Source organism: Homo sapiens, chromosome 13 (assembly GCF_000001405.40).
Source record: "Homo sapiens chromosome 13, GRCh38.p14 Primary Assembly".
Classification (NCBI taxonomy): Eukaryota; Metazoa; Chordata; class Mammalia; order Primates; family Hominidae; genus Homo; species Homo sapiens.
Genome location: NC_000013.11, coordinates 59070739 through 59082951, shown reverse-complemented (window position 1 = coordinate 59082951; position 12213 = coordinate 59070739). Strand labels below are relative to the sequence as shown.

The window sequence follows — 12213 nt, the reverse complement described above, 5'->3', positions numbered from 1 at the left end:
ATTTGTTTCCCATCTCTTATCCCTCACTGCTTTTACAATAGAGAAGTTCCCTGAATGCCTGTCTGAAGCGACAGCTTCCAGTTGTGCTTTGGTCTCCTCCGGCTGCCCTATCTATCTTCTCAGGAATCTTTCATTATCAATAATACCCTTTCTTTCTCCTCCTTTTTCTCTGCTCCTCCTCTCTTCGTGTCATATGTTATGTATATATGTGTGTGTGTGAGAGTGCATATATATATATATACATATATATATATGAATGCCTCTTATTAAAACAAAACACCATCTTCATTGTATAAATCCTGAAGCTATTGCCCATTTTTTCTTTGCAGTCAAGCTTTCTGAAAGAATTATCTATGCATGCTGTTTGCATTTCTTCATCTTTCACTCATAAGTTATTTCAATTGAACTTTTACTCCATTATTCCACAAACAAGCTCTCACTAAGTCACTAAAGATTTCCATGTTTCTATGTTCAGTGGACACTTTTTAGTTATCTTCTGGTTTGACCGTCCAGCATCATTTAACAGTGCTGATCATATCCTTAAACCTCTCTCCTCCCTTGGCTTTTCCAGCACATTATTCTCCTGGATTTCTTCCTGCATCTATGCCTTCTTTTCTGGTCTCTCTTGTAGGGTCATCTTCCTTAACGTGGCTTTTCAATGTTGGAATTTCTTAAGGTTTATTATAGGATTCCTTCTATTCTTTTTTTTTTTGGGGGGGGGGACGGACTTTCTCTTTGTCACCTAGGCTGGAGTGCAGTGGCACGATTTCGGTTCACTGCAAGCTTCACCTCCCAGGTTCAAGCGATTCTCCTGCCTCAGTCTCCGGAGTAGCTGGGACTACAGGCGCGTGCCACCATGCCCGGCTAAATTTTTTTTTGTATCTTTAGTACAGACAGAGTTTCACCGTGGTAGCCAGGATGGTCTTATCTCCTGACCTCGTGATCCACCTGCCTCAGCCTCTCAAATTGCTGGGATTACAGGCGTGAGCCACCACGCCCGGCCGGATTTCTTCTATTCTTATTCTGTATTCTTTACCTGTGCAACCTCATCCATTCTATGATTTCAATTACTGTATGTAAAATGAACATCTTTGAATATATCTCCAGCTCAATTCTCTTCTCTGAGTTTCAGACCTAAATGTTTAACTGCCAACTTAACATTTTGCTACTTGACTAACTCAAAATAGTTCAAATTTATCAGATACAAAATTAAACTCTTTATCACCAAACTGTCCCCAAGTTTAAAAAATGACACTTTACTTGTAAAACAGGAGAGCTGGAAGCAATCCCTGACTCCTCTGTTACCTCAACTGCCATATCAAGCCCAATCTGTGTTTCTTTCACGAATTGATCCACTTCCCTTTATCTCCATTACCACCATTATAATCCAAATTAACCTCATCTTTTGCCAAGAATACAGAATTGCCTCAAAACAGATTTTTCTATATTTTGTCTTCTGAATGAGATATCATTGATCTTAGAAAAAAAATCTTTAAAATGACCAGCAAGGCCCTGATAGTCTAGCCCCTTGCTACCCATGATGCCTCTGGTTTCTCCCTGGGCCTCTGCTGTTCACCCTATTAATCTTGAATACCTGGGACCTGACTTCTCACTTTCACCACAGAGATTTTACCTACACTGTTTTTTTTTGTTTTGTTTTGTTTTTGTCATGAGCACACCCTTCCTCTTCCTTCTTTGTGTGTTAACTCATTCATCCTTAATGTCACAGCCCAATTATTTTCAGGAAGCTTCCCGTGATTCCTAGTATAAATCTGATATATGTGAAATATCCTCTCACAGAACTGTCATTATTTCTCTCATTATACCTATCTTGATTGATAATTATATATCACCAATGTGGTTATTTGATTAATACATGACTCCCCTCCTAGACTGGAAGCTTGTTAGGTATAGGGACTATGTACTTTTTGCTCATTGCTTGTATCACCAGCACATAGCACAGAGCTATCACACTGTGGATGTCTTTATAAATATTTGTGTAATTAATAAGTTAATCTTGGCAAGTGATACAGAGGTGCAGCTATTTATGGTAAACAAATCTGGAAGAAAAACTTAGCTATCCAGATACACAGAATTACTGATTAGGTTCAACTCCTGATGCAAAATAATTTTTGTTTTGCTTTTTCTATCTTGTTCTAATATATAAGCATCCATTAAGATTGAGTCTATATTGGCCATTTTTATCTAGGGCAGAACACTCAGAGCAATGTGGAATGTCCAAGAGGGTTTTTCAAATACCTATTCTTCCCCAACCCATATAACTAAGGAATAATATAATCTGGCTGTGAGGTGGAGGGAGGCGGGAATAGGGATATGTGCAGCTATATTTTGAAGAAAGCTGTCCAGATAGTTTGGATGCAGACTCCCTCAACAAGGTGAGAACCAATGGTTTATACAAGTCTTTGTATTTCAGTAACTGAGAAATTCATTGCTTTGGGTTGGCTTAATTGAATAAAATATTCTTCATGTGAATGTTTGGGAGACTGAATCACTTGGATGACCAATGATTGTAAAGTTCAACCACTCAAAACCATTAAATTATTGAAGGTGTGTGTCTGTGTACCTTTGGAAATTTAACATAACTAAATATAAATACTATATATATGGTGTGTGTGTGTGTGTGTGTGTGTGTGTGTATACACAGTGTGCAGGAAAGATTACAGTCTTTCTTTCATCGATGCAGAGTACAGCATGAGTCAGGGAGTGGTGAGTTGAAGCTGGTAACACGAACACAGACTTGATCATCGAAAATCACGTGCGCCATCTTAAGGAACCATTTGTGGGCTTTCAACAAGGAAGTTTCAAAGTCAGATTTTTACCTAGAATTTCTTGATTCTTCACCAGTGGGACAGTGTGGGGATGAAGGTAGGAGGTGATGTTTTAGAATGACTTTGGGGATTTATCCAAATTGCCTCTGCTTCCACGTACCTAGAAGAGTTCAATTATATATCTGGCCAGGAGGGCATTACCTCTTGCTGCCCTGTCTAGTTAAGAATCATTTTTAGGATATGTGGAAAAGTGCTCTACCTTTGAGATGTGCTGACTTCAGAAAACTATTGAGCTCTGGAAACCATTTAAAAATATATTGTCCTCCTATTGGTTGAATGGAGATTATAGGTTTTTGAAAGGAGGAAGATCCTTTGTTCATGCCACACATATTGGTGGAATTTAGGGTCACCATATTCCACATATTCCAATTAATATGCAGTTACTGGCGTATTAGCTGCAGGTGTAACCATGGCATATTGTTATGTCTGTCTGCATGAGGCTTGCGCTGCCATGAGGAAATAAATAACAAAAAAGTGAATTTATACAAATAAATGATATATATATAAATATATAGACGTGAAATAAAATGATATGTTGCAATAAATGCAATGGACGGAATAAGCAAAGTCCTGTAATTGAGGGTAATAGGGAAAGCTGAAGAATTCTTTATGAAAGGCCTTTTGGAGGAGGAAATATCTACTCTTAGAATTGAAGGACAGGAAGTGGTCATTCATGCAAAGATCATAAAGAAAAATATGTTCAGAGAGAACAGCAAGCCCAAAGACCAGCAGAAGTAAAGAGGTTGTTGAGTTCTGAGACCTGAAAAACCGTGGTACCCTGTTGCACAGAGAGTTGGAGCTAGATAGAGACCCAGAGAGCAAGTGTCGTGTACTGAGGAGAAAAGGTGACCAAGGGCCAAATTACACAGGTTTAGTTCATGGAAACACGTGTCTATGAAGTTATAAGTGCAAGGAACAGCTACAGAAGTCTTCAGTAGTTCTGTAAAAAGACATGTTAGCTGCCACATGAAGAATGGTTTGGATGGGCCAGGAGTGGAAGAGCAGAGATTAGTTAGGGAGTTATTTCAGAATTATAGATTAAATAATAATAGAGGTTTGGGCCACAGAGCGAACATTGGCAGTGAGTTGGTTTGAGATTTATATTAGATTCTGATTCTGAACTATGGTTTCTCTGGTGCTTAAAAGTGGATTGGAAAATGTTTTTGAATTAGTGAATGAATGGCCTTGATACAGGAAATAGAGAAAGGTTTTGAGATTTATTAAAGTACAATGGTGTCATTTATTAAGATAAGGATTCTAAGGATGTCTAGGTTTAGGAACTATCATGAGTGAAATTGTAGTCTTATTAAATTTGAGATGAAACATCAAATGAATGTGGTAAGATGGTGATTGGGTAAATTATTAGGTATGCATTAAGTAAAGAGAGAAATGAAGACATACAGATGATAGATGATGAAAATTTGTGAAGTTCGTGCGTTGGAGTTCATGAAGAACTGGAATAACATTGGACTTGGTGTAATGAAACGTGAACTGGAAAGGCAGGAACAGGTCAACAGAGAATGGACTGTTTGGAATTATTTTGGAAGTGACATAGTTTTGTTGATGACAAACTCATGATATTACTCATGATAAACTCATGAGAATAGATAACTGAATTGGATTAGGGATGAAAACATTGTTTCTAGTGAATAGATCAATGGACTGGAAGTCCAGAATATGATACTGTTATTGAGAATGACAACAGAAGTTGCTATGGAAAGAAAGGCTGTGGGCCAGAAGGTAAGGCTTTTGTTGAGTGAAGAGAAGTAGTTGGGAAGTAAGAAAATGGCAGGATTGAGGTGGGAAACTTGTAAGATGGCTAAAATGACTTGCACTTCAACAGTGCCGAATTTATCAAAAAGGAAGGGGGAGAAATGACCTGAAAGCAACAGGAGAGCAAGAAGGACACTTACCCTCATCTCCTGAATGGATGGGACCTTGCTGAGATTGAGAAAAAGAACATCCTTTACTTGTATAGACTAAAGAAGAAAGAGTGACCTCAAAGAATATCCAGGTTAGGGTTAAGGCAAGGGGTATAGGAGTTACTCAGAGGAGTGTGAGGATTCAGAGAAGTCTGCTAATGCTGCATTGAAAGTTCTAGAGAAACAGAAGTGTGGGAGACTGTAGGGAAAATATTTTTATGTTTCTGCACAGGCAGGGAGTTCTGAGCAAATTTTTCTGAAACTTGGGACCTAGATTATAAGACAAGCCTAACTTATCTTATGACTGAGTAGATAATGAGAGACCATCCAGAAAGATTTGCCTCCGCAGAGCCATGAGTTTATATTTTAAGAGGAGATGAGACTTGAGACTGTGGAGATACTCTTGGATTGTAAATATGCTGGTCTTACCTTTCCTTTGGAAAATTTATTTACTGTCCAAAAGATTAGAACCCAGAGTCCTTTCTGCTATATTTCTAAGGAAACATTCTCAGGAAAGGAGGAGGCAGCTGTCTCTCTCTTATATAAATGTCCAGATTTATGTATTTTTGGTTTCTCACCTACAATATTGATTTCCTATGTGCAGGACAACATGTAGCTTTCAACACATGTCTCCAGAGGTAAGAATTGGGGCACAGGAGAACTACACATGTATTATTTTCAATAAGTAATTAATAATGTCTTCTGCTCCAGCAACCTTGTGTGTATATTCAGAATAATGTTAATAAATATAGAAATTAAAAACTTAGCAAAAGCCATGTATGCTGGTTCACACTTGTAATCCCAGCATTTTGGGAGGCTGAGGTGGAAGGATGGCTTGAGCCCAGGAGTTTGAAACCAGCCTGGGCAACATAGTGAGACTCTATCATCTCTACAAAAAAAAAATTAAAAATTAAAAAATGAGGCAGGGATAGTGGTGCATGCCCATAGTTCTAGCTACCTGGGAGTCTGAGGTGGGAGGATGGCTTGAGCTCAGGAGTTCCAGGCTACAGTGAGCAATAATCTCATAACTGTACTCCAGTCTGGGTGACAGTGTGAGACCCTATCTCTAACAAATACAAAAAAGAGAAAAAGAAAACGAAAATGATGCAATAAATGCCTCTTGAAGCAAAAGCCAAGTTAAAGTTAACAGTGGTGAACTGAATTAGGCAATGCTATTACTTAATGAAATAAATTTAAAATAATTTAATGTGGAGAACCAACAATAGTGATATGGTTTGGCTGTGTCCCCATCCAGATCTCATCTTGAATTCCCACATGTTGTGGGAGGGAGCCAGTGGGAGGTAACTGAATCAGGGGGGCAGGTCATTCCTGTGCTGTTTACATGATAGTGAATAAGTCTCATGAGATCTGATGGTTTTATAAGGGGGAGTTTCCCTGCACAAGCTCTCTTTGCCTACTGCCATCCATGTAAGATGTAACTTGCTCCTCCTTGCCTTCCACCATGATTATGAGGCCTCCCCAGCCACATGGAACTGTAAGTCCATTAAACCTCTTTATTTTGTAAATTGCCCAATCTTGGGTATGTCTTTATCAGCAATGTGAAAATGGACTAATACAGTAAATTGGTACCAGGAGTAGGGTGCTGCTGAAAAATACCTGAAAATGTGGAAGCAACTTTGGAACTGGGTAACAGGCAGGCATGGGAACAGTTCAGAGGGCTCAGAAGAAGACAGGAAAATGTGGGAGAGTTTGGAACTCCTTAGAGACTTGTTGAATCACTTTTACCAAAATTCTGATAATGATATAAACAATGAAATCCAGGCTGAGGTGGTCTCAAATGGAGATGAGGAACTTGTTGGAAACTGGAGCAAAGCTGACTCTTGTTATGTTTTAGCAAACAGACTGGCAGCATTTTACCTCTGTTCTAGAGATTTGTGGAATTTTGAACTTGAGAGAGACGATTTAGGGTATCTGGCAGAAGAAATTTCTAAGCAGCAAAGCATTCAAAAGGTGACTTGGGTGCTGTTAAAGATGTTCAGTTTTAAAATGGAGACAGAGAATAAAAGTTTGGAAAACTTGCAGTCTGACAATGCGATAGAAAAGAAAATTCCATCATCTTTTTCTGAGGAGATATTCCAGCTGCCTGAAGAAATTTGCATAGGTAACAAGGAGCCAAATGTTAATCCCCAAGACAATGGGGAAAATGTCTCCAGGCATGTCAGAGAACTTCATGGCAGCCCCTCCCACCACAGGGCCAGAGGCCTAGGAGGAAAAAGTGGTTTCGTGCTGTGTGCAGCTTAGGTACTTGGTGCCCTGCATCCCAGCCACTCCACATGGCCGAAAGGGGCCAATGTAGAGCTTGTGCCATGACTTCAGAGGGTGCAAGCCTCAAGTCTTGGCAGCTTCCACATGGTGTTGAGCCTGCCAGTGCACAGAACTCAATAATTGTTGTTTGGGAACCTCCGCCTAGATTTCAGAGGATGTATGGAATGCCTGGATGCCCAGTCAGAAGTTTGCTTCGTGTGTGGGGCTCTCATGGAGAACGTGTGCTAGGGCAGTGTGGAAGGGAAATGTAAGGTTGGAGCCCTCACACAGAGTCCCTACTGGGTTATTGCCTAGGGGAGCTGTGAGAAGAGGGTCACCATCCTCCAGACCACAGAATTGTAGATCTACTGACAGTTTGCACTGTGTACCTGGAAAAGCCGTGGACTCTCAATGCCGGCCTGTGAAAGCAGCCAGAAGGGAGGCTATACCCTGCAAAGCCACATGGGTGGAGCTGCACAAGACCATGGGAACCCACCTCTTGCATCAGTGTGATCTGGATGTGAGATGTGGAGTCAAAGGAGATCATTTTGGAGCTTTAAGATTTGACTGCCTCACTGGATCTCAGACTTGCGTGGGGCCTGCAGTCCCTTTGTTTTGGCCAACTTCTCCCATTTGGAATGGTATTTACTTAATGCTTGTATCTCCATTGTATCTAGGAAGTAACTAACTTGCTTTTGATTTTACAGGCTCATAGGCAGAAGGGACTTGCCTTGTCTTGGATGAGACTTTGGACTGTGGACCTTTGATTTAATGATGAAATGAGTCAAGACTTTGGGGGACTGTTGGGAAGGCATGGTCAGTTTTGAAGTGTGAGGACATGAGATTTGGAAGGGATCAGGGGTGGAATGATATGCTTTGGCTCTGTCCCCACCCAAATCTCATCTTGAATTCCCATGTGTTGTAGGAGGGAGATAAGATAGTGGGACGTAATTCAATCATGGGGGCAGGTCTTTCCCATGCTGTTCTCATGATAATGAATAAGTCTCATGAGATCTGAAGGTTTCATAAGGGGGAGTTTCCCTGCACAAGCTCTCTTTGCCTACCGCTGTCCATGTAAGATGTGACTTGCTCCTCTTTGCCTTCCACCATGATTGTGAGGCCTCCCCAGCCATGTGGAACTGTAAGCCCATTAAACCTCGGGTATGTCTTTATCAGCAGTGTGAAAACAGACTAATACAGATAGCTTCAGTTTTAAAGAGTTGCCTTGAGATGAAAATATTTTTTTGTGTATGTATGTGGTGGGGAAAAGGATGGGATTCTACCTTGGTGTTTGGACTCATTGTCATCTTGCTGAGACTTAGGTATAAAGAGGGAGAGTTGGACAACCCAGTCCAGGTAGTACAGGATCTGCCAGAACAAGTCCCCTGCCTGACCAGTTTTTAACTCGGGTGGGCAAGAGTTCCAGGGAAGAGGATTTCATGAAGTGGGCAATACGCACATAGAAATGATGACGTTAAGAAGACTGAATTCTTCCAACGACCACGTGAGTGACCTTGAAACTGTATACTAGCTCATTTAAACCTTCATTTGAGACCAAAGCCCTGGCTGGCACCTTGCCTGCAGTCTTTTGAGAGACCCTGGATTTCAGACCAACTGAAACTGTGATATAATAAATATGTGTTCTTTTAAGCTGTTAAGCTGTTAAACTAGCTGACTAGTTTTTTTAGGCAGCACTAAATAACATACATGTCCTGACTCCTAATTAGGGAAGTCACTTTGGTAGCTTGAAATTGTCCATGGTGGTGGACGTTTCTGTCATTAAAACTATTAAATGGTATGAATCGGGGCTTTTGCTTCTCTAGGAGAGCTGGTTGTTAAATATTTACAATCACACCAATGCATACAAAATTCAGAATTGTGGAAGTCAGAAAGCAGGGTTCCCATAGATAGTAAGATACGAGAACAAATTCAAGAAGGATGTTTGGGAAGGAAGGATAACTGGCCTTATAAAGCATTTGGACAATAGGTAAAGGGTGCCAAGAAGATAGCTTAATAGAGAACTGAAGAGTTCTTACATGCTTCATGGCCAGAAAAGGTCCCTTTGGGTAGATAAGCATGGCTGAAGTATGATAATAAATTGGTAGGTGCCCAGGCATATTATGTGGAGCATGGACTGGTGAGCAATAGGATACTTCTTCTGCCTTATTTTCCAACAAAAGAATTAGTACTATTAGATTATCACTTTTTAAATAGCACTGATACATAGCATATTACTGAGTGCAAAATTCTAATTACTGCTGAAAAGCCTGGATATAATGGAAAATTGCCCCAATCAGAAAAATTTTGAATATTAGAAAATTTATTCAGATTAAAACAATACATGTATTCCCTTAATGAAATTAGTAAATGAGACTGGCCTAATAGCAAATAAATATGTTACGTTCACTTAGGATTTTTTTAATGTGGAATATTCCATTTAAAATTCATATGTACTTCTAATGATAATAGCGAAATAAATTCACATTGCTATCTTTGTATTAAAATTAAGGAAACATTTTATTTCTTTGTAATTTTGTTTATTAGTTACACTTATGTATATGTTACTCATTATTTGTGGTAGTAAATTGTTGCTATTAGAAAGATTGAGTAATAGAATATTTCAACAAGCATGAAGATAGAACACAGGAAAATGGAATGTTAGAGCAGCTAGAGATATTTATATTTGGGGAAGCAGATAGGCAGCCACGTAAATAGTGTCACAGGTGTCTGTCAGCATGAAGCAGAGACTGGGATGCAGAAACAGAAATTTCCTGTTCCTAGAGTGAGAAGGGGATGTATGATTAGTAAGAAGAAGGAAAAACTCATGCCACAGCAACTGGAGAGCCATCACATTATAAAGATGGGACTAAAGCAAGCACAGGGGAGAAAGGTGGAAAAGGGCTTCAAATTAGACGCAGGAAGACGGCAGGAACTCAGTTTTATAACTGAGCTGCAACATTAGCCCAGATTTGCAGAGAGGTTCTGGGCTGGCCATCTTGCTCTAGATTATTGGAAGGACTTTCTTCCAGGCCCATGAGCTATAGTCAGCATTGTTCAAAGAGTGAAGCAAAGCTGGCAGTGCCGTGACTGTTCATAGTGCTTAGCTATACAGAAAAGCTGATGCTCAACAACAAACGAGTTTCATGGTCTAAGTCTGCACGTAATTATTTGTCTGCGATTTCTCTGTACACCTTATAAAATTTTCACTTTCATCTCTATGGGCAAATAAAAACACATTAAGGATATTGATTACATTTAAACAAAAAGTCACCTTTGTCCAATTTCTTTGATAATTTAGAAAGTATCTCTGCAATACAAAATTTAAAACATTATTCCATTACATTTTTGTTGAAATACAAATTCTGTAGCAGTCTTTTGTTTTAAAGTTTATTTCTGAGCATATTTGAACTAAGCACTCTGGGCTGACACTTTTTATAGATTGATACTTGGGCATAATAGCTCCAGAGATTTAATTACCATGTTGTCTCTTTCTTCTGCTGACCATTGATGAAGCTGTTAAAAGAGCCTAACTGGACCTAACAACAGTCCCAGTGACACATACAAGATCCTTCCAATCAACTTGATAAACCGTTATTTGCTACTACACTTTAATAAATATTCACACAGCTTTCAACCCATGTGCTAATGCCAGCAAGCAACTAACATTTTTTCAAGTATTATTTCTTGAGAAAACCTGTCAAAAATATGTTCCCAAAATTAAATTTATGATCTCTAAAATATTTCTTCTAAAATAATAGTCAAATAAAATATAAGCTTCATCTACTTCTAAACATTTTTAAAATTCAGATATCATAATCTTATAAACTAGAATATTAAAACAATTTTTGCAAATATAAACACCACAATTTTGTATATAATACAATGAAAGAGGAATTAACCTAACTTAAAATATTATAGACAGCCATCCTGATAACACAAATAGATAGATATTCTAATTTTGGTTCAGCATTCAATCTAATGACTGACTTACTTTCTACTAGAGAGCAAAATATTTCCTATAAAATTTTTAGAATACAATCAGGAAATTATAAAATTATTTAAAGTATATTTTCTGGCTGGGAGCTGGAGCCTGTGGGTCAGAGTCTGAGACAATAATGCTGTTTAGCCCAGGCTGGGAAAATGAGTTGATCCTGGAGGAGGGACAGTGTTGTCACTGCTCCACCTGCAACACCTGCCCTTCCAGTACAGTATCAACTATAAGATCACAAATTGGAAGTATCCAAAGCTGAAAGAAGTGGATAATGTGCTTGGGGGAGCAGCTGCCTGGGAGAGCAACTGCCTAGGAGAATGTCCACTGTCCTGCCCAGCCATGTCCCCAGTGCGAACACCCTCCTGTTCACTTCATGCAGCACAAGACTCACCCTGCAGATGAGCCAATGACTGCCTTCTACAAGGGCAGCAGTGCTCAGTGTGGACACTGCTGGGGGAATTAGGGCCAGGATGGCCCAGCTGCCTCAGTGTCTGCTTACCTTGTCCCCCAGGGTGGATTCTCAGCTGGGAGTATGAATTGTGGGTACTGAGGATCTTTTCTGGTGGAAAGCTAACTCTTTTAGAGTGAAGAGCCAAAGTCTTAGTAACTGTAGCCTATCTGCCAGTCAGGGAGTTTTTGTGTGTGGAGAGGAGACCCATAGCTAAGTAAGCTCTGTTTAAAGTCCTGTTCTTTCACCTTTCATATTTATTGGCAGTTGACATTTCCTCACCACCAGTCAACATTCTTAAATACTTGTACTGTTTCCACAACTTAGTACACTGTCCCTAAATATTTAACTATTAATTGTAAACTTATTTAATCAAAATTTTTTCTGAATATTTCATGAAAGATGAGATCTAAAAAAAGAATATTTTATAGTTTATTACTCTTATAAAGACCTCTCCTCTGCAACACTTTCTCCTTTTTCAATTATTTAAAATTTCCAGAATCCTTTAGCATATCATCTAAATAGGTAAAACTAAGTAGAGATGTTTGATGAGTATTAAAAGCTGATTTGCAGTTACAATTCTCAAGAAAAATAGGTGCCATTTGTGGCAACCAACGGCATGCCATTTTTAAAAATTCTTTTCTTTTGTAGGTAAGATAAAGCTTGATGATAATTGTCAATAGTAATCCATCAGGTTTTATGAATTTATATAGTGCCATTTATCTGACTCTACTTGGA

The 12213-nt window shown here is 39.1% G+C and overlaps 1 pseudogene; it reads left to right on the top strand.

The window, feature by feature from the left end:
• On the top strand, window positions 11112-11848 carry POLR3KP1 (RNA polymerase III subunit K pseudogene 1; annotated as a pseudogene).